This window comes from Homo sapiens, chromosome 15, assembly GCF_000001405.40.
Source record: "Homo sapiens chromosome 15, GRCh38.p14 Primary Assembly".
NCBI classification, from domain to species: Eukaryota; Metazoa; Chordata; class Mammalia; order Primates; family Hominidae; genus Homo; species Homo sapiens.
Genome location: NC_000015.10, coordinates 23,156,629 through 23,179,546, shown reverse-complemented (window position 1 = coordinate 23,179,546; position 22,918 = coordinate 23,156,629). Strand labels below are relative to the sequence as shown.

At 47.6% G+C, this 22,918-nt stretch overlaps 2 pseudogenes across 1 annotated transcript; both read right to left on the bottom strand.

The window, feature by feature from the left end:
- Nucleotides 1-8,763: 8,763 nt before the first annotated feature.
- On the bottom strand, nt 8,764-22,207 carry GOLGA8DP (golgin A8 family member D, pseudogene; annotated as a pseudogene). Its single transcript, NR_027407.1, has 18 exons — nt 22,036-22,207; nt 20,217-20,336; nt 19,572-19,631; nt 19,308-19,388; nt 18,093-18,452; nt 17,920-18,004; nt 17,715-17,824; nt 16,605-16,694; nt 16,391-16,498; nt 16,107-16,194; nt 15,462-15,718; nt 15,126-15,194; nt 13,682-13,757; nt 13,159-13,250; nt 12,490-12,590; nt 12,307-12,407; nt 12,065-12,217; nt 8,764-11,979 (listed from the first exon to the last, which is right to left on the bottom strand). The product of NR_027407.1 is annotated as a golgin A8 family member D, pseudogene (transcript).
- On the bottom strand, nt 13,361-13,650 carry RN7SL106P (RNA, 7SL, cytoplasmic 106, pseudogene; annotated as a pseudogene).
- Nucleotides 22,208-22,918: the final 711 nt, after the last annotated feature.

The following is a 22,918-nucleotide window of genomic DNA, read 5'->3' as shown; positions in this document are numbered from 1 at the left end:
TTTCCTAGATACATACAACCTAGCAAGAATGAACCACAAAGAAATCCAAAACCTGAAAAGACCAATAAGTAGTGAGACGGAAACAATTTTCCCAGGAAAAGCCGGGTGCAGTGGCTCACGCGTGTAATCCCAGCACTTTGGGAAGCCGAGGCGGGCGGATCACGAGGTCAGGAGATGGAGACCATCCTGGCTAACACGGTCAAACCCCGTCTCTACTAAAAAAAATACAAAAAAAAAAAAAAAATTAGCTGGGCATGGTGGCGGGTGCCTCTAGTCCCAGCTACTCAGGAGGCTGAGGTAGGAGAATGGCGTGAACCTGAGGGGCGGAGCCTGCAGTGAGTCGAGATCAGGCCACTGCACTCCAGCCTGGGCGACAGAGCGAGACGCCCTCTCAAAAAATAAAAAAAAGTTTCCCGGGAAAGAAAAGCCCAAGACCCGACGGCTTTACTCCTGAATTTTACCAAATATTTTTAAAAGTAGCACAAAATGCAGCAGCAGGATTCTCCTGCCCCAGCCTCCTAAGTAGCTGGGGCTACAGGTATGCACCACCACGCCTGACTAATTTAAAACTGTTTTTGTAGAGACAAGATCTCACTATGTTGCCCAGGCTGGTCTCAAACTCCTAGGTAAAATGATCCTCCCACCTCTGCCTCCCAAAGTGTTAAAATTGCAGGCATAAGCCAATTTTTTTTTTTTTTTTTTTTTAGTAGAGACGGGTTTGACCGTGTTAGGCAGGATGGCCTCGATCTCCTGACCTTGTGATTTTCAAAGCTGTTCGAGGGCATTTATCAGGCTTTTAACTCTAGGTACTCTTTCCCACAGTGTGAAGGCCAAGAGAAGGGATCCTGGGCTCTCTTCCCTGGCCCCAGGATGGGAATTCAGGGGGAAAAGGTCACCTATTCTCCTATTCTTATCCCACAAAAGAAAACTTATGCATCAGTTGTCAAGCTAAGGAGCTTCAGAGTCCACAAATAGGGAAATTGCTAAGAGCTTATCAGTAGTGTCCACTACCCATCCCCACCTGGGGTCACGTGGAGAATGATGGTGGGGGCGACGATCTTGTCCTACTTCAGGTGAAAAGCAGGGGTGTGGGGGGGTTTCATTGTGAAGGGCTCCTTTGTTAAAATTCCTTCCAATTCCAGGAAAAACATGCACTCGAAAGCCATTATCTCTTTTACTTCTTACTAGGGAACTTCCAGGAAAGAGACGGGGGGGGGGTGGGGGGTGGGGGGTGGGGAAGAAGAGGGCAAAACAGCTGCAGTGAATGTAGTCACCTCTCCGATTGCTTTTCTTGTTGCAGAATATTTCACATGCCAGGATTTTCCTTCTTGTCCTCCGGACTGTTGATACACCCAACATCTTAATACGCTTTCAATCACAAGTTAAAGACATCCAGAGCCAGATTGCTTGAGCCTAGGAGTTCCAGACCGGCCTGGACAACATGGTGAAACCCAGTCATATATATTTTTTTTTAGGGGGAAATTTGCTCTTGCTGTCCAGGCTGGAGTGCAGTGGCGAGGTCTCAGCTTGCCAGACCTCCGTCTCCGGGGTTTGGGTGGTTCTCCTGCCAAAGCCTCCCGAGTGGCTGGGATTGCGGTGTGAGCCACCATGCCCGACTAATTCCTTAACTGTGCAACTACAAGGTCACTAAACAAATAAACTCAAGTCACAAAACATATTTTTCCTTAAATAGTAAAAAATAATATAATGCATGTTTCAATTAAATAACAATCTTTGTTTCTCGCTTCTATAATATACTTCTCCCTGCACAGATCTCCCCCTTCGCCCCACATAATGCTTGAAAGGTAACTCTTGGTTCAGTGCTCAATCCTTTAAATGTTAATCCGACTGGGCCGGTGCACCTAAATAATTAATAAATGTCCTCCTAAACCCCATGAGTCTATCTAATTCCTTAAAAATCCCTCTACAGGACTGCAGGTGTGAGCCACTGCACCCCGCCTAATTTATTAATCAGAGAGGAATAGATCGGCCTGGCGTGGTGGCTCACGCTTGTGATCCAGGGACTTTGGATGATGGAGCACTGGGGATCACTTGAGCCTAGGAGATCCAGACTGGCCTGGGCAACATGGTGGAACTCGGTCTCTCTCTTTTTTTTGTTTTTTTGGAGGCAGAGTTTTGCTCTTGTTGCCCAGGCTGGAGTGCAGTGGTGCAGTCTCGGCTCCCTGCCACCTCCACCTCTTGGGTTTGGGTGGTTCTCCTGCCTCAGCCTCCCTAGTGGCTGAGATTGCAGGTGTGAGCCACCATGCCCGGCTAATTTTCTTTTTTTTTTTCTTTTGGTACACACAGGGTTTCTCCCTGTTGGTCAGGCTGGTCTCAAACTCAGGACCTCAGGTTATCCGCCTGCCTTGGCTTCCGGGGATGCTGGGATTGCAGGCGTGAGCCAGCGCGCAAGGCCCAATTGATTAATCAGAAAAAAATAAATCAGCCTGGCGTGGTGGTTCACGCTTGTGATCCCAGGACGTCGGACGGCCGAGCGCTGGGGATCACTTGAGCCTAGGAGTTCCACACCGGCTTGGGCAACATGGTGAAACCCGGTCTCTCTTTTTTTTGGCGGGGGGGGTACAGGCAGGGTTTCTCCATATTCATCAGGCTGGTCTCAAACTCCCGACCTCAGGTTATCTGCCCACCTCCTCGGCCTCTGGGGATGCTGGGATTGCAGGCGTGAGCCAGCGCGCCCGGTCCAGTTTATTAATCATAAAGGACTAGATCGGCCTGGCATGGTGGCTCACGCTTGTGATCCCAGGAATTTGGACGGCAAGCGCGGCGGATCACTTGAGCCTAGGAGTTCCAGACCTGCCTGGGTAACATGGTGAAACCTGGTCACTTTTTGTTTGTTTTGAGGCGGAGATTCGCTCTTGTTGCCCAGCCTGGAGTGCAGTGGTGAGGTCTTGGCTCAACGGGCCTCCGCCTCCAGGGTTTGGGTGGTTCTCCTGCCACAGCCTCCCGAGTGGCTGGGATTGCACGCGTGAGCCACCATGCCCAGCTCATTTTGTTTTTTGTTTGTTTTTGTTTTTATTGTTGGAGATGGGGTTTCTCCATGTTCATAAGGCTGGTCTCAAACTTCCCACCTCAGGTTATCCGCCCGCCTCGGCGTCCGGAGGTGCTGGGATTGCAAGCGTGAGCCAGCGCGCAAGGCCTAATCTATAAATCAGAAAGGAATAGGGCCGGGGATCCCTTGAGCCTAGGAATTCCAGACAGGCCGGGGCAACACGGTGAAACCCGCTCTCTCTTTTTTTTTTTTTTTTTTTTTTTTTTTTTTGCGGCAGTTTCACTCTTGTTGCCCGGTTGGAGTGCAGTGGCGCGGTCTCAGCTCCCCGCAGCCTCCGCTTCCCGGATTTGGGTGGTTCTCCTGCCTCAGCTTACCAAGTAGCTGAGATTGCAGGCATGAGCCAACATGCCCAGCTCTTTTTGTATTTTTTTTTTTTTTTTTTTTTTTGGTATAGACGGGGTTTCTCCCTTCGTCAGGGTAGTCTCAAACTCCTGACCTCAGATTACCCGTCTGCTTCGACCTCCCGGGGTGGTGGGATTGCAGGCGTGAGCCACCATGCCCAGCTTATTTTTTTTTCTTTTTTGGTAGAGACGGGTTTCTCCATGTTGGTCAGGCTGGTCTCAAACTCCCGACCTCAGGTGATCCGCCCGCCTCGGCCTCCCAGGGTGGTGGGGTTGCAGGAGGGAGCCACCGCGCCGGGCGCAATTTATTAATGAGAAAGGAACAGATGGGCCTGGCGTGGCGGCTCATGCTTGTGATCCCAGGACTTCCGATGGCCGAGCGCTGCGGATCGCTTGAGCCTAGGAGTTACACGCCGGCCTGGGCAACATGGTGAAACTCAGTCTCTCTCTCTCTCTCTCTTTTTTTTTTTTTGAGAGGGAGTTTCACTCTTGTTGCCCAGGCTGGAGTGCAGTGGCAGGGTCTCAGCTCCCCGCAGCCTCAGCCTCCCGGGTTTGGGTGGTTCTCCTGGCTCAGCCTCCCGAGTGGCTGGGATTGCAAGCGTGAGCCACCATGCCCTGCTAATTTTTTTTTTTTTTTTTTTTTTTTTTTGGTAGAGATGGGGTTTCTCCATGTTACTCAGGCTGGCCTCAATCTGACCTCAGGTTATCCGCCCGCCTCAGCCTCCCGGGGTGCTGGGATCGCAGGCGTGAACCACCGCAACCGGCCCAATTTTTAATCAGACAGGAATAGATCGGCCTGGCGTCATGGCTCACGCTTGTGATCCTAGGATTTTGGACGGCTGAGTGTGGCAAATCGCTTGAGCCTAGGAGATCCAGACCCGCTTGGGCAACATGGTGAAACCTGTTTTTTTTTTTTCTGAGACGGAGTTTCCCTCTTGTTGCCCAGGCTGGAGTGCAGTGGCGCGGTCTCGGCTCGCCGGGCCTCCGCCTCCCGGGTTTGGGTGATTCTCCTGCTTCAGCCTCCTGAGTGGCTGGGATCAAGGGCGTGAGCCACCAAGCCTGGCTACTTTTATTTATTTATTTATTTATTTATTTATTTATTTATTTAGGTTGAGATGGGGTTTCTCCATGTTGGTCGGGCTGGTCTCCTGCTCCTCACCTGGGGAGATCCGCCGGCCTCGGCCTCCAGGGGTGGTGCGATTGCAGGCGTGAGTCACTGTGCCTGGCCGGAAACCCAGTCCCTTAACGGAAAAACAAAACAAAAACCACAAAGATTAGCCAGACCTGGTGGGCCCCCCTGGGTACTCCCAGCTACCCTGAAGGCTGATGCAGGAGGATTGCTTGAGCCCGGGGTGGAGGTGGCAGTGAGCCATGATGGCGCTGCTGCAGTCCAGACTGGGTGATAGAGCAGGACTGTGTCTCAGGAAAAGGGAAAGGAAAAAAAGAATAATAAAGAAAAAGAAGTATATAAAATTGCTAAATCCAGGAACAGCTTCACAGTATATTGAGAGAAATAGAGGCAAAGGTTAGCAGACACCAATGTTCACTTAGTGGAACTGCAGTTGTCCCCAGACAGGAGGCTGCTACTTTTACAAAAGAAATCTATTATTGACAAAAAAAAAAAAAGGTGGTTTGTTACAATACACAAATAGCTAAACTTTATATAGCCACGACCCTCTTCTAGCACTGCTCTAAGCCTTTTCCTGCTCTGGAATAGCTACTATTGTTACCTCCATTGTAGAGAAAACAGATGGGGGAGGTTGTTGTGGAAGGACCAGGGAAACTGACTATGAAATTGACTTGTAAGTTGAGGACTTAAAGGTTCTTCCTGCTTTGCTCCTTACATTGCCACATTTTAGTTAACATACCTCTTAAAATACTGGTCCTTTCTGTATTTGGAGGGACTCCTCTTGCAGTTTGAAGTTTTTTCTTACACTAAGCATCTGGTTAGAAGATCATCTCCATTTTATGTCAGTTTAAGTTTAGACATTGTTCAGTAAGGAATGTAAATATGAGCAAACAGTTATCTGATTGAAATAGATAAACTAGAAAAAAAGTCACCTATGAGAAAGTCAACAAAATGTCAACTCTGGATTTGTGGCTATTTTCAGAATATTAATTTTTTGATATTTAATGGCATTGTGAATATATTTATTTTTAAGAATTCCTTGTCTTCTACAGATACATATAAGGTAATTAAAAATGATAGGATGTATAGGTTTTACTTCAAAATCATTCAGAGGAAGAAGGAATGTATATAAATGAAGTGGGAATATAAATGAAACAAAACTGGCTGTGGCCAGGTGTGGTGGCTCACGCCTGTAGTCTCAGCACTTTGGGAGACCGAGGCAGGTGGATCACCTGAGGTCAGGAGTTCAAGACCAGCCTGGCCAACGTGGTGAAACACCATCTCTACTAAAAATACAACAATTAGCCGGATGTGGTGCCGGGTGCCTGTAATCCCAGCTACTCGGGAAGCTGAGGCAGGAGAATCGCTTGAACCTGGGAGGTGGAAGTTGCAGTGAGCCAAGATCATGCCACTGCACTCCAGCCTGGGCAACCACAGCAAAATCCCACCTTTAAAAACAAACAAACAAACAAAAAACAACCAAAAAAAAAAAAAAACTGTCCATACCATGAATGAAAAATTGTTGATGATGTGTATATGTAGGGCAATTATATCATTTATTATATATAATATATATATTATTTTTCTCAACTTTTTTTTACATCTGAAACTTTCTATTGAACACATGGACATGTCCCTTGATAACTGGGGCTGCTTCCCCATTATTCTCTCAGCAGCCCTTCTGATTTTCACTCCATCTTCATTCTTAGAGATTCTGGATTTTATTTTTTTTTGGGGGAAGTTCAAGTATGTCTTTGCAAGGATTATCCAGCATGTCTACCTACTCAATCATATTATCAGAAACAGAAAAAGTGTCCAGATTCTTGTCTTGTCCTGTTCAGATTTTTTAAATTCCAAGAACAGTCACCTTCTACCAGACACTCTGATGTTGGAAGACAAAGCATATTTGGTAAGTGGCATGATTTCTGGGCTCCGATTTAGAACAGTCACAGCTTTCAACAATCCAAAAATAGCTGACTGTGACTCACCATATTTAGAAAGATGGAGATTATTAAAAAAAGAAAACCTTAATTTATTATGTGACCGCTAAGTGTCTCGGCTGAAAATTGTAAAGATAGAAAGGTAAATCAAAAGATACAGAGACTGTAATCATGCAGTTAATAAAGCGCTAAATCAAAATGTATTTGGCATATGTGAAAGAGTTTAATTTTATCCCATTTTCTACTGGCACTATAGGTATTTGTAAGTACATATAAAACTACAGTGTTACATATAAACTACCAAAAAGGAACTTAAGAAACGAGACTAATCTAGCAACTTTATTTAAAAGTTTATCTTAAGGGAATAATTAAGGATGTCCATACAAAAGGATTTAGCCATGACACGAGAATGTTCTTCCTGGCAAATCAATGGAAATTATTAAATGTGCAAAAGGGAACTGTTGGAATAAATTCTAATGCCTTCATATGATCGTATGTCGTAACCTTTTAAAATGATATTAAAGAGTTGCATACATTGACTTAAACAGATATTCATAACACATCACTGAATAGGAGAAATACGGGCCAGCAAAGAACATAGAGTTGGTCCAATTTCTACAAAAAAAAGTAGACTAATAGCATGACAGCAGGGAAGGGGGAATATGTCAATGTATGTGTGTATATATATGTATGCATAGCAAGTATGAACTTGAAAGGATATATATCAAATTGTTTACACAGATTACCTCAGAGAGGTAAATAACTGGCCTTTGGTGTTCTGTGTTCCATAGATTCTGAATTTTCTTTTTTTATTTAAATAGAGATGGGATCTTAGCCAGGAGCAGTGGCTCACACCTGTAATCCCAGCACTTTGGGAGGCTGAGGAGGGCGGATTGCTTAAGGCCAGGAGTTCAAGACCAATCTGGCCAACATGGCAAAACTCTGTCTCTACTAAAAATCCAAAAATTAGCCAGGCGCAGTGGCTTATGCCTATAACCCCAGGTACTCGGGAGGCTGAGGCATAAGAATTGCTTGAACCAGGAGGCGGAGGTTGCAGTGAGCAGAGATTGCACCACTGCACTCCAGCTTAGGCAACAGACCGAGACTCTGTCAAAAAATAAAAACAAAACAAAACACCACCACCAACAACAAAACAGTAATAAAGAGAAAATCTTATGGACAGGAGCAATGTCTCATGCCTGTAACCCCAGTGCTTTGGGAGGCCAAGATGGGAGAATCGCTTGAGCCCAGGAGTTCAAGACCAGCATGGGCAACATAGCAAGACCTTTTCTCTACAAAAAATTTAAAAATTAGCCAGGCATAGTAGTGCATGCTTATACTCCCAGCTACCTGGGAGGCTGAGGTGGGAGGATCACTTGAGCATGAGAGTTGGAGGTTGCAGTGAACTGTGATCACACCACTGGGAAGCCATGACCCCATCCCTGCCTTCTTCCTCTGTCCTATGCTAGCAATAAGTAAGTTTCCCAGCCACAAATAATTATTAGAACCTCCTCCCCATGTGCCACCTCCAACCACCGCTAGGTATGATACAGGGGTGGCCCTACCCTCTGGAATATACAAAACCTTACACAGACACAATATATACACCGGGGAAGGGGGGCCACCCCAGCAGCCCATGCCTTCGCCTGGTCCACAGTTAGCCCCACTGTCCTGCCTCAGCTACCTCTCTGAATAAGAAGATTGGAGCCCCCACTGAGGGAAAAGTTGCTATGGTGAGAGTAAGGAGGCCATGAGGCCTCCTCCAAACAAACCAACTCCACCAGCCTCTGGCTCTTAAATAACAATATCATCCAGAAATTTAAGGACTCAGCTCTGGTCAAGGTGGCAAAGGGTCTGTTTGTCTTTCCTCGTTAGACAGTGGTCTTGTCTTGCTACCCTAATTGTAAAGGGGTGACTGGGAAGGGGAGATAGGGACAGTGTGGTGGTGGAGAGACCCCAGCCCCACTTCTCCAGGCTTTGCTGACAGGGGCCTGCTTTTAATTTTTATTTTTATTTTTATCCCATGCCTTTTTTTTTAAATCCCATAACTTCTTTTTCATAACTTTTTTTGGTAACTTTTCATAAAACTTTCTTCTACTTTTTGGTCACAAGATTTTTTTGCCACAACTTTTTTACATTTTTTATCCCATAACTTTTTCACCCCATAACTTTTGTTAATCCCATAACTTTTTTATTTTGTGTTCTTTTAATAAACCCTTGCATAGTTATATTACAATTTTGTAAAAATGAAACATTATCTCATGCCAAGCATGCTCAGCATTTGCACAGTATCAATACCTTTAATACTATATTTTTCAAGACACACAGAATAAAATTTTAAGGCAAAAACAGCACTTTGCAACAACTTAATAATTTATTACATTACAGTAGCATCACACCAGCAGTCAATAATGCCACTTTAGGCAAAAGTCTTTCAGTATTTCCGTTTTACATTCCGCTTACAAGAATTCATAAATTGGTAAAATTCATTCTAAGAAAACTTGGCAAATAAAGCTTTGGACTGGAATTGGCATTTCTTTCTCTACTTTTCCTTCCCACCATTTATTTCCTTTACAGTATTCATATTTTAAAATGTTTTAACTTATTTCAGAACATTAAGATAGCAGTTACATTGTTTAATAGTTATTTTAAAATGACTCTTTCAGATAAAGTTTTAGAGAAACTATAGTATGGATAGGGCTGATTTACATTTTCAAATTTTCTAAAAATCAGCTTTGGTTTTAGAGCTGATTTTTGTTCATTTCTGGAAAACCTATCAGATTTAATCCAATACTTTAAAAATGATTATTATATATTGCACTCTTTAAATCGGTGATTTGATTCTTCCTACAGAAATTCAAATTTATTGAATTGAACTCACATTTTAGAATTCTGTTTCTGATGAACTCTAACCTTCCAATGTTGCCTTCTAAGCAAATTGAAAGCTGCCTTATACCGAATGAGGAAGAATACCAATACTTGGCTGAATGAGGTATCGCAAAAGACTGCAATGCACTTTGAAGAAAGACTTAAGTTATAGTCATGCGATTTCCATTCTTTTTAGCTTTTTCTTAAATATACGACAAATATCTACACAAAGAGTGGTATTTCTGTTAATACAGTCAATTTATTTTCCAGATTGACATTCAGCTTAAATATGCCAGTATGTGATTTAATCCATAGGCACCTGATGAACACATTATTGTCAGATTGGTTACAGATGCTCGTAGTTGTCTTTAAACTGAACTCAAAGAATGCAAAAACATCAAGTTCAGAAAATAAAAGGCAAGGACAGGACTTTAAGTGCATTTTAAAGCCACGGGCTAGAAATCGTACCACTGTTAACTAGCCGCATTATTTGGTCTAACATTTTTTCTTTATCATTCTGAAACTGGGTTTATCTAATACATTGATACATTCATACAATTTGGAAGAGTCCGTTGAAGTCACAAGGACCCGATATTTGCACTCTTTCAGTGATTGCCGGCAAATCTGTTATTCCATCGGCAAAATCGTACTGCTGCTCTCCTGTTAATGTCGTATTTATAAAAGTATCATGAGGATGCCAACTGCTAAAAATGGAGATGGTCTAGTAACTAGAAATCCCCACCCCAGGGAGCACACATACATATCTCCCTACATCCTAATAATGTGATGTGTTTTGGAACACAGACATTAGAACTTCATGAAGTTTTAACTGTTGAGTCTTTCCCAAGCATCATCAAGTTATGATTTAGGCAATGTACAACTGAAATTCATTCATTCATCATGCATAGGCACAATCACATAAATACTGCACAAAATATGCCCGTAAGTGAAACCCAGAGGTACAGAAACACATTTCACTCTTCACAAAGAAGTTTGTGAGGAAATATAACTCTGTGATTGTATAGACATGTTTCCTGATAATACACTGACATTCACCAACAGTAGATTGCACTGCAGTTTGTACACATTTTAAGTTGCATAAACTTCTCCTTGATTTTCAAAGATAGTATAATACTGTCTACTAAAACTCCTTTTTGTTTCAACTAAGCACTCTCACATATATTAGTTTATAACAATGTTTATTATTATTTCAAAGTGTTTTCCATTCAAGGAAAAGAAGTCAATTCCTATGTCAAAGTAACCAAGGTGGTTGAAGAATAGGCAGAGTGGTCTAGATGGTAAAATCAATCTTCAAGCCTCAAAGAAGCTCCATGAACAGAGGAATGCCAGGTGTCACACAGCTTTCCTTCACTCTAATTCATTCTTGACTAGAGCCTGTATGCGTGTTCCAGGGACATTTAAACTCTTAAAGGATTTCTTCTGATCTTTACTAAATACATTAAGAAGAATGCCAACCAGTGCCCTTTTGTGTACTGGGACATGCAGTCATGTGATTAAAACAGGTAACATGAACTCTGACTTTAAAATATAGATACAAATGCTCTAAGCTAGGAAAGGTTTTCCACATCCATAGTCAATGATGGGAACCTTTCATTCCTCAGAAATAAGCCCTTTTTAGGTCATCAAAAAAGAGTACAACTGCTGCAGCTCATGATGCAATATCTTCATGAGCCCAGAGCACATACAAATCCTAAAGGAACTACAATAGTACAGCACTAATTCTTGGCAACAGAACAAATGAAACACACTCTATCTTGCACATACCTGCCAGAGCAGGCAACTTTCCTCTTCTGTGAAATTTAAAAAGCTCCCCCAAAATGTTATTACTCCCATCACCAATACACAGAAAATGAGGGAAAGGCTGTTTCCAGTTCTCGGCCTTTAAACAACTCTAAATGTCAGTACTCTTGGTGGCATATTACAAAGTATTAAATAGTGCAAACTTGGGGCAAACCACATATTGTGCTAATGAAGAGCTCACTGTGATTAAGATTAGATCAAACAATAGCAGAACATAGGCAAATTTTATCTGAATTCTGTAATGAATATACATGCTTCAATAACATTAAAAACACATGGCAGCCTATTCCAAACCAGCAAGAATAGTTTTGTGCAAATAGTGGGTCTTTGTGTGTTTGAACTCCCACCACGTAAGGGCAAACTCAATATGCATGCTAATGACCTACAATCATGAAATTGAAAAAGAAAATTGCGAAAGTATGCCAGAGTGAACATCAGTGAAAGCCACAGAGACCCACTCTCTTTTAACTATTTACAAATAAACTTAAACTATAAATTAGAAACACAAATAATCATAAGTGGCTATAACATTCAAACGAAGTAAATGAATTGTGTAGGAGATTAACCCCATAACTTTGTTTCTTTTTTAAAAATTTCTTGAGCAGCTCTTTGACGATGGTCATGTTTATCTCCTTCTTCTTGGCAGCCAAGCCCAGCAAAAGAATGGCACACAGCAGTTGCTGCCCAAGCCTGGGTGCTCCTGGTGGTCCTGCACGATCGGCTGTGCAGTAGGGTTGTCGTGGGGAGAACCCTCCCTGGCCTCTCCTTGCACAGGCTCCACGCTGTCAGTGAGGCTCACCTCACAAAGATCTTTGGAGAGAGGGAGGCGGGGATCTGAGCTCAGTGAGAGCCCCCCTGCTCCTGCCTGCCCACCCCGCCTGAGGGCTCTACTCACCACCATGCTTGTGGGCAGCCCCAAGCTCCTGGGGGGCTGGGGCTCCTGGACTGGGCTCATGAGCAGGGTTCTGGGCAGTCACCAAGAATTTGCTGTGTCCCTTGTAGTCGCCACCAGCTGCAACACCATCTCCTGCAGCTCCAGCAGCTTCACCTGGAGGGAGGGGTGCTCAGCTGTCACGCTGCTGCCAGCGCTCACCGTCACAGCCACCCCCACCCCCGCAGAGATGTTGCACACTCTACCTTCATCTCCTCCCTGTCCAGGGCCAGCCTGATGGTGTCCTCCTCCCGGTGCTGCATCTTTGGCACTGCCCCCTGGCTTTGTTATAGGGTGATAAACTTTCCTGCGGGAGGACAGGGCTCAGACGCTGGGGCCCCTCCAACAGCCCTGCAGCTCCCCCTGCCATGCCCTGGCCTCCCACTCACTGATGGCATCCCTCTCTGTAGTACTGGAAGAATCCAAGTTCTTCTTTCTCCACCAGCTCACTCAGGTCTGCCTTCTCCTCCAGGTGGTCCATAAAGCCGCTCTGGAGCCAAAATAATGGGGTCACATCTCGCCAGCGACCTGCCCTCAGGTGGCATTTTCAAGTCATGGAGAAGGCGGAGGTGAGTTCCGGCATGGGCCAGCTTCTCCATGACTTCCTGCAGGGCCCGGTGGGTCTCCCCACTCACAGACTCGCCCCCAGGCCCTGGGGCTGGGACCGCTGCCTCTGGCTCCTTCTGGGCCGAGGCCACCGGGTGAGCCAGGCGCTGGCAGCACACCCTCTGCTCTTTCACCTGCTCTTGTAACTGTGCCTGCTTCTCCTGGGCACTAGCTCCAGCGGACTTGAAAAATGCCACCTGAGGGCAAGATGTGAGCATTCTTCTAGGGGCATACACAGAAGAAATGGGGCAGAGAGGTGGAGCGCAGCCCCTTCCCTTGGGGCCCCAGAGACTGCACATGTTGGTCACAGGTGAAATGGTGTCTGACCACTGGCTCTCGGAAGGGGTGAGGGTCCAGAGAAATCAGAAGGCAGGGAAACGAAGAGCATAAAGGGGTCTTGGAGGGACCACAGAGAAAGGTGGCAAAATGGGTGCAGGGGGAGTCAGGCTCACCATGGCCTCCCTGCTCTCCAGGTCCTCTGGGACACTCGGCATGGGCCGAGGTGCCTCCTCCCCCTCACTGTCCAGATGTTCTCCTCCGTGTCCTGTGGGGGGTGGCCAGAGGGGTCTTCAGACAACTCAACAAGGGAAGTATTGTGGGCCCACCTCTGCCTCCACCCTCATTGTGTAACCCTGAGCCAGGCCCTCCCCAGAGAGGAATGAGCTGCTGTTATTTATTTTTACTTTGAAGAACCAAGATCTTGCTATACTGCCCAGGCACATTCCCACTACTGGTCGGTGCGGGAGTTCTGACCTGCTCCCTTTCTGACCTCGGCCAGTTCAGCCATCCTTAGGCAACTTGGTGGCCCCCCGCTCACAGGAGGTCACCATATTGATGCTGAACTTAGTGCAGGCACCCGGTTAGTATAATGACCAGCTGTTCTAAAGGTCTCTTCCAACTCCTCAATCCTATGCTGCTAGCAGTCCCCCCTTCCTCCTGGGGCTCTCTCCTCTTCCTCTGAGCGGTCTCCCGTACCTTCCCCAGGGAGAGCCATGAGGCTCAACTGGGCCGTTAGCTGCTGTTTCTGCTGGCTGGCAGCTTCCAGACGCTCCTAAGGGGCCAGGAAAGAGTGAGAAGGCACAGAGTTTGCCAGGTCGTCCCCCTCACGGCCCCATCCTCGGCAGCTCCCTCCCCTGGGCCTCCTGCAACTTTTGGCAGGCCATCTCGGCCACCGCTTTGCCCCAAGCTTCCTGCTGCTGCAGCTGGTTCATTAGCTGGGTCTGCTGCAGTCACTGCCTGTACAGCGCCTCCTTCTCACAGGTCAGCTGCTGATAGGCGGCCACCTGCTGCTGATAGGTGGCCACGTACTGCTGCAGGTGACCCAGGTAATGGTCTGGCTGCTGCTGCAGACTCTGAGCCTCTTGGCTCTTCAGCTCCACCTGCAGGAAGACCCTGGGTGTGAGGGCACGTGGTGGCTGGTTTCCAGATTCTGGGCCCATTAATAGGGTAGCGAGGGCACTGTGGGGCTCTGTCGCCTGCCCAGGCCCCTGGCCCCTTACTCCAGGCCTAAGTGACTGCCTCCCTTTCCTAGAACCCCATGCCTCCTTCCCCAGCCTCAAATCTCATGTCCTCTTCCCACCATTTCAACTGTAGGCCACAGAATGGTAGAAAAGTAGTGGGAGCCAACCACCATCTGCTAAATGTGCTACAGGCCTAATGCTTCCCATGTATTATCTCATTTAATCCTCAGCACCTCTGTAAGGAAAATGCTAACTTCCTTTTGAAGTTAAAGAAACAGAGACTTAGAGATGTGAAGTACTTGAATGGTGACCAGTGGAACTGAGGCTGGAATCCAGTTTTAATCTAAGGAGTCTTTTTGTTTTGTTTTGAGACAGAGTGTCACTCTGTGGCCCAGGCCGGAGTGCAGTGGTGCAATCTCAGCTCACTGCAACCTCCACCTCCTGGGCTCAAGCAATTCTCGTGCCTCAGCCTCCTGAGTAGGTGGGATTACAGGCATGCGCCACCACCATGCCCCACTAATTTTTCTTTCTTTTTTTGTTTTTTGTTTTTGTAATTTTAGTAGAGATGAGGTTTTACCATGTTGGCCAGGCTGATCTCAAACTCCAAACCTCAAGTGATTCTCCTGCCTCAGCCTCCCAAAGTGTTGGCACTATAGGCGTAAGCCACCGCGTCTGGCATAAGAAGACTGTTATACCACTCTGTCTCTTCCCCTGTGATTGGGGGTGCTCCATGTCTCTAGCTGGAATGATGATGTCCAGACCTGGGAGGAGCCCAGGGCTACCCACCTCTAAAATCAGAGGGCAGGAAGCAAGAAACAGCCACAGGACTGCCCTGGAGGGTGCTGGGGTCACCTGCCCCCGGGCTGGAGCTGCCTCTGGCCTGGCACCTCCCCTCCCCAGAGGCTGGTGCCCACCTCCCAGACCTTCTTGGATGGGGTGGAGGTTACCGTCTCCTTCACCTTGCCTAGCTTCTCCTGCAGCTCCTTTACTTGCTGCTCCAACTGTAGTACGCTCTTGTTCTCATTGTTCTGGACAGAGAGAAGCAATCAGCAGCCACCCACTGCAGCTGGAGACCCCAGAACTTGGTGACTGCCTCCCATGGCACCGGGAAGGGTGGAGGCAGGTTAGAAAAATCATCCCCTGTCTCCCACAGCCACCAGAGCAGGGCTCTGGCTCACAGGTGCCTTTAGGAGTAACATTTCACTTGAGGGCTACACTGCCCCATTTTATAGGTGGGGAAACAAAGGCCTGGAGGGCTAGGGAGGAGGGCAGGCTCCCCAGCTGGGGCAACGCACCAGCTCCTTGAAGCTGTTCTGTGGCTCGGCCAGCTGCCGAAGCCTCTCCTCCTGCTCTGGAAGCCTCTCCTGCTGCTCCTGAAGCCTCTCCTCCTGCTCCCGAAGCCTCTCCTTTTGCCCCTCATTCAGGAGACTTATGCGCTGATTGTACTCCACCTGGGCCTGGAGCGCTCCTGCCACTCTCTCTAGTTCCTTCCTCAGGTGCTGCAGCTCCACCTCAGAGGGCACTGCTGGGGGCTCCGGGGGCAGAGGTTCAGCTGAGAAAGGAAGCAGATAATAAGAGCCTCTGGATTCCAAAAAAAAAAGAAAAGAAAAGAAAAGAAAAAACCCTCCTCTTGGCGCACAGCTCCTCTCCGGCTCCTCAAACTTAGCCTCACTGCTAATGATTCCTCGCACCCAGATGGGTAGCCAGTCTTCCAAAGCACTTTCAGAGAAAGAGCACTGCGGGTGGCTGACAACGGGCCCTCTTTGCTGATGGGGACACTGAGGCTCATTGAGATGACAAGACTTGCCGTCTCCTGGCACAGACCTCTTTCCCTCTGCCTCAAAGCCCTTCCATCCACCCACCTCGCTGGGGCACTCCAAGACACCCTCACAGCCCTCTGATGCCAGTCCTGCTGCCAGGTCACGCCAGCCCCATCTTACCCATCTGGTTTTTGAGTTTGGACAAGCTCCTCTCCAGCTTCTCTACCCGATATTTATCATGCTTCTTCTCCTTCTTCAACGAGCAAACCTGCCCAAAGCACAGGGGGAAAGGGCCCTGGAGAGAGGGGCTGGAGGCTGGACATGCTACCATCTCTCTCTCTGCCCCCACCTCCACAAAGCCCAGACCCATGACCACCTCTGGCTGTACTATTCCCATTTTACAGGTGCCCAGAAAGATCCAGTGACCTATCTAATGTGGGGGGGGCTGAAGGGTCAGATCTCACCTCCTGCGACATTTTTCTCATCCTCTGCTGCCACCGGGCCCTCTCTCCTTTTAGATGTTCAGCATATTCATCCCTCTCTAGCTGGACTTCTTTAAGTGACTCCTTCAACTGCAAGAATGGGCACAGAAATTAGGAAGGGCTGTCACTGGTCCTCACCTGCTCCTGGTTACCTGGGGTCATCTTCCTTCCACATCCCTCCCTCTGAACACCTCACCTGTGTCAGCTGCGCTTTCAGCAGTGCCTGCTCCCGCATGGACTGCTCTAACTTCCACTCCATACGTGCTTTACTGCGGCTGGAGAACTGCTGAAGAGTGAGAAGTTTCAATCTGGGGAGGCCGGGCCATTCCACACAGTGCCCCTTAAAAGGGCCAGGGCTAGGCCCAATATACAACTCGGTCAGTAAAGATCAAGGCATTTCCAAGCCCGTGGTTTGGTTTTTAAAGAACTCAGTAAAGTTGGAAGGGACAGGGAAAGAGATCGAATTTATAGCTGGCTAACAGAGGCCCAGAGAGATCAGATAATATTGCTATTGTTATTACTGTTATTATTACCACTGTTTGAACTTTTATGGAGTGCTTCACCAGATACCATGCTAGCAATCCCATTTAATCCTCGCAACCACCATGGGAGACAGTTACTATGATGACCTCTATTGTGTAGATGAAAAAACATGGAGTATTTGAGGTTAAGTGCTTGCCTAAGATCACTTAGGCAGAGCTGGGATTTAAACACCCAGATCTATCCAATTCTCTAAGCCCATTTTTCTTGCTGGGGGTGGGGGCACAGCTAGGAAGGGGAAAATTAATCTTTTGTTCACTTTTTGAAAGGATAATACATTCACATAGTCCCAGACTCAGAAGGTACAGAAGGGAAGTATCTCCCAGCCACCCTGTTGCTCTCTCCTGAGTTTTTATGAACACTTGCAAACATATTTTATGTATATTATCATAATATGTACACACACACACACGTTTCCTCTCTCTACAGAAATGGTAACATACTAAAGGTACTCTTCTGTACCTTCACAGTACAAGTAGCCAATACCCCACTTAGGACTTGGCCAAGACCACAGCCAGGTAAAGGCATGGCAGGCACTTGGCCTCCAAGCTCTACGTCCTGTGTTCTCTCCCCAGAGTGCCCCCCAACTCACCCACAGCAGCTGACTCAGTCCCAAGCTGCCGCTAACAACCATACAAAAAAGCAGTGAGAAATGGCCATGCTGCCTTCTGGGCAGGACACTCCATCCTGCAGAAGGGACCTTTAGGCTCACTCCTCTGTCTGTGAAGCCAGGCTACCAGGGGACGGGGCAGGTGGTTGGACTCACCCTCTCCGCCTTCTTCTTCTGTGTGGCGGTGACAGCAGAGAGAGCCCGCTCTAACTCTCCTTTACGCTGCAATGAATGTTGCAGACGGACGGCCAGATCCTTGGACTCTTCTGTAATGAGAGAGTTGAGATGGGGCCCAAAGGACTCCCCCTGAAGACCTGTCAAAGTCCCAGGTTGAAGGATGACAGGGTACCCAGATTCCCACCTTCAAAGTATCTGAGAGAATGTTTCGTGTGGTACAGGTCCGTATTTAGTTTCCCTTTCTGTATGTTCAATCTCTGGATTTGAACCTTTGGGAGAAAAGCCAAGCAAGTGCTGAAAGAGAAGGAAAGAAACATTCTCCGGAGGACAGGAGAAAACTGCACACCGTCCACTCACCTCTAGCTCCCTTTCGGCTTTCTGTTTCTCGTTGTTTGCTTTCTTTTCCTGTAGGAAGTGGAAGACAGAGATCTAACCAGGCGGAGGCAGAGATGGTACTGCAAGAGACATGTCCCCAGAATGCCACCACTGCCCCTGCCCCGGGACAGGCCCACCCATGGGACCGGGTTATCAGGGACCCTGTGGGGGATGGGGTGGACTCTGGGGGGTGAGCCTTCTTCCCCAGGCTGGGAGTGGGTGAGACGAGACTCGGGGCCTCTACATCTGAGTGTCCCCCAAACCGAGCAGTCATGTCGCGAGCAAACAAAGAAATCATGTTACTTCTTCCAGCTGATGTTCCACTTGTTTCTTCTGTTGTTTCTGTGGGGAGAGTCACATTAAGGTGATGGAGGGTGGCCCCCTCAACTCTATTCCCCAGAGCAGGAAGTGGTAGGCAGGGACCAGGAATGGATTTTAAAGGCAAAGTTCTCAGACCCAGTGGGAACACGAACTGGTAAACTCTCCTCAAGCTCCCAAGGACAGAGGATTTGGGTCTTTGTTGGCTTTTGTCCACAGCCACAGAACTCAAGGTCTGAATCTGGAATCTCTTGACAGGACAGTAACATAAACCTCTAGAGATGGAGTTTGAGAAAGGCCCCCCCTTCTGCCAGCTTGTGATTTAGAAAAGTGCATTCATTCAATAAACATTTACTGAGCACGTACGGGCCAAGTACGGTTCTTCACAGCAGATTTAGGGCGGAAAAGGACAGACAGGAGCCTTTGGCCCTGAGGTTTCCATTCTAGGAGGCCTTTAAATCTCAGACTCTCAGAGCTAACAGAGACCTATGATACTCACTACTTCCTCTGGAAACACGAGCCCAAAAAGGAGAGGTGGCTTGTCCAGAATCAAAGAGCAAATTAGGGACTGAGTCATGGCAGAAATACAGGGCCCCTGACAACCAGTCAGGCTAGCACTTCCCCAAGAGGCAACAATCCCAGGGCGTGTGTAGCAAGGACTCGAGCAGGGACGTCTGGAGAGGGGAGAGTCAGCAAACAGGGCAGCAAAAAAAGAGCCATGCTGCATGCTCCGGGGTCCCTCCAGGTGAGGCCTGGGCGCCCCAGCTCCCTATTCGCCCTTGGCACCAGGGGCCGCCGTCCCCTTTCTTCAGGGCCCCAAGGGGAAACTAGAGCCCAGGATTGGCAGCGTGGAATCAGGGGACCCCAGTGGACTCTTACCAAAGATTTGATGGTGTTCTTCAGTTGACTGACTTTTACGGACCTCGAGTCTGGGACTACTGCTAGTTCTTGGCACGGGCTCTGAGGCGCATGCAGAGAGGAGGAGGTGGAGGAGGAGTGGGGGGAGAGGTAGAGAGAGCAATCATTAGGGCTGGGGTGTGTGTGGACTGTCTCAGCTGGCAGAGGGGCACCCCGTCCCACCTGGAGGAGGAGGTTGGAGGGCTGCCCTGCAGGGTCACTGCACCTCTGCCCAGAGCCTCTTACCTCCAGATCCTTCAGGGTAGCAGATGATGTAGGGCTCTCCCCGTGGATACCTGTTGCTGACTACAAGAGATGAGAGTGCACATGAAGATGTTCTGTCCCACTCAGTATCTAAGCCCTCTGACTTCTTTTCTTCCCCATCAACTGGCACAATTTTCTTTTCTGCCTATCTTGGACCCTTTGTCCCATAACTCCTTTGTGCCAACTTCTCTCATGGTTCTTATCTCCCCACCACAGCACCCTGCGGCCCTTTCAGTGACTCCTGTGCCAAGTGACTGTTCTCATTGTCCTGGCTTCCCCTTGAGACTGGGGATGAGGAAAATCGAACAGCAATGACCATATCCTGGGTGTTCTGGGTGTTTACAGCAGGCCATGTACTAGGGATTAACATAAAAACAACAATAACAAATCTCATTTAAACTTCACAAATGGAAGTGAAACAATACCACCTCTATTATACAGATGTGAAAAGAGAGGCCCGATGAGGTCAAGCAACTTGCCCTAATTCATATCCCTAGCAGACAAAGAGGCAGGATTCAAACCCAGAATTCTTCACAGGTACCCAACAGTCCATCCACAATCTTAACAATTACCCTCTAGTGCCCCTTGGGTCCCCTGTCCCCAGGAACCTAGTCAGCCAAGACTCACATCTCCAGGTGAGTGGCAACCACCAGAAGTGGCTGTCTCATGGATGCTGCCATTTGTTTTCCTGTTCCTCTTGGCTCCTGCTGGAACACCAGGGCTGTTTCTCTGCCAATATTCTTTTAACTGTCAGAAACAAGAGCAGTAATACTCATGAGAACTATCAGCCCCTGCAGCCACATCCTCCTTTACAGTTTTTATAAAATACTCTTATACACCATCTGATTTAATGACACCAACAACTGTACAAGGTGTTGTCACAATCATTTAGTGACTCAAAGAGATTGATATCATGGCTAGAAAAAAAAAGAAGAAAAGAAAAAGGCGACAGACGAACTTTGAAACTCAGTCTTCTGACTCCAAACTCTGGGGTATTACCAAGAATCAGCAGCTGCCAGGGACCAAAACCAGAGGCAGAGGTAGAAAAGTAAACATTAAGTAGGCAGGAACTGTATGCCATGTGGTTTAGAGTCATACATCCTCACACGTCTGTTAGTGTGAAGAAGTGCACCAGTACCTCTCAAACTCTTATATCAATGTATCCTCATGGCAGAAGGCAGCCTTTCTGTTAAATCTGGGAATTTATCAGAAAGAGGACAACCCAAGCCTCATTTCAGAGAGAGGTCTGGTATACTCTTAGAAACCTATGTGACTGTCATCCCTAAGTACATTAATGTTTTTTCTCTTGATCTCAAGAGAATCAATGGAAACTGATGCTTCAGAAAGATGTCCCATATGTATCCTGTGGCACTCAAAGTACCCCAGGTTTACATAATATGAGGAAGATTCAAGCTGTCAAGTTCAGTTTCCCAAGATCTATTCCACAGAAGATGAGCAAATCTCACTTCACAGACCACTGACTGAAGGGCAGTCTGGTCCCAGAACCATGGAGAATTAGAATGTGAGGTGGAGAACTCACAAAAAATTTGTTAAAATCTCTCTGGAAAGTAGAAGCCTGGGAGAAAACCAAACCAAGTCAAACCCATTCTCCAGTTGCCATCCAGAGGTACTGTCAATGTTTTGAGCTCACAGGGGAAGTGTAGGCTTTTCCCGCTGTCAATGTTTGTGTTAAGGGAGTGAGGCAGCCTGAAACCTCTTGCTCCTAGGTCCCAATCTCCATTCCCCTTCCAGCTGGAAATTTGTGCTGTGACAAGAGGAACCAGAAATGGGGTGGCAATGCTTAGGGGACTGGGTCATAAGATCAAAGGCCAGTCTCGCAGTAATGACAGTTACTGGATGGACCATGACATCACTACATTCCACTCTTCCTGGTGAGGGGGAGGGACCACATCAGCATGATGTCCGAGTCACCGCTCCATGATAGGGGAGGGAAAAACAGAGCTGGGACCCAGGTCCTTGGAGACGCCAGTGCACACAGCCTAGGGAGGTCCACCTTGAGGCAGCAGGAGGGAAGGGAAGAGTCAGCAGCAGGGAGCCCCAGGATTCACCAGCCTAAAGTCACCCAGGGATGACTGGTGAGGGTGGGGTCTGGGGCTGTGGGACCCAGGTCCTTGGAGATGTGAGCCCAAAAAGCCCTGGGAGGTCAAGCTTGGGGTGGCAGGAGATGAGGGCCCAGTAAAGGAGCGGGGAGCCCCAGGATTCACCTGCCCAAAGTCACCCTGGGGTGATTGGTGAGGGCAGAGACTGGGCTGCTTGCTGAAGGGGTGGGGCTGACTGGCAAAACTTTGGTGGGGGTAGCCCAGAGGCACCGGTGTGGGGGTCCCAGTCCGGTGAACCTCGGGATTGGTATGGACTCTGGCAGCAGTCTTGTCGTTGGAGAGGATCTATGGCTGGGTTGGGGGTCCGTGACCTGGTGTGTTTTTACCTTTCTCTTGGCTGCTGCCAATTTACTTTGTCGAGTTTCTTCTGCCATTGCAGGGTGGGGAGGGAGGCGGGCTTGGGGCCACATCAGCAAAATCCCACCAAGCACTGATCAACACCTCCAGTCACCTACCAGGTAGCTGTGCGACTGAGCCAGAGGAGGCGTAACCAGGGATGCAGTAGAAGGCAGAATAGGGGCGTGGCCTTAATGCTCCAAGCCCATTGGTTAATGAGAAAGATGAAAGGGAAAGGGGGCGTGGCCAGGCATCATGTGTCCAGAGGGACCTTTGGCTCACAAGGAAAGCTGCCCATGCAACCACTGTCCCCACCCACTCTAAGAGAGGGGAGAGGCCGCCAACTCTGGGAGAGGGGCAGGGCCGGCTTTTGCTTTAAAAGCTTTTAAAAAATATATATGTGTATACTTTATATATATGTGTGTCTGTGTGTGTGTACCTGTGTGTTCCTCCAGAGCTGTCTTCATGATCCAGCTTCTATGCAAGGTCTATGATTTTGGCCTATATTTTTCATAGAGTACAAAAATTACCAGTATTACCTTAACCGAGATACAGATCCTATGAAAATGGAAAATCCATAGCATGCTTGATGATTACTGAAGCAGACTGTATTATCCAACATTCCAATAAGATAAAATAATCACAATGACTTCTCTTTTTTGGAAAAATGTTTCTCTTATTCTCCTACGTTATTGTGAAGACTTTTTTTCTTAAACAAGAAACATGTGTAATATTTGTAAAAACACAAAGCTTTTGGGCCGGGTGCAGTGGCTTATGCGTATAATTCCAGCACTTTAGGAGCCTGAGGCTGGTGGATCATGAGGTCAGGAGATTGAGACCATCCTGACTAAAAAGGTGAAACCACATCTCTAC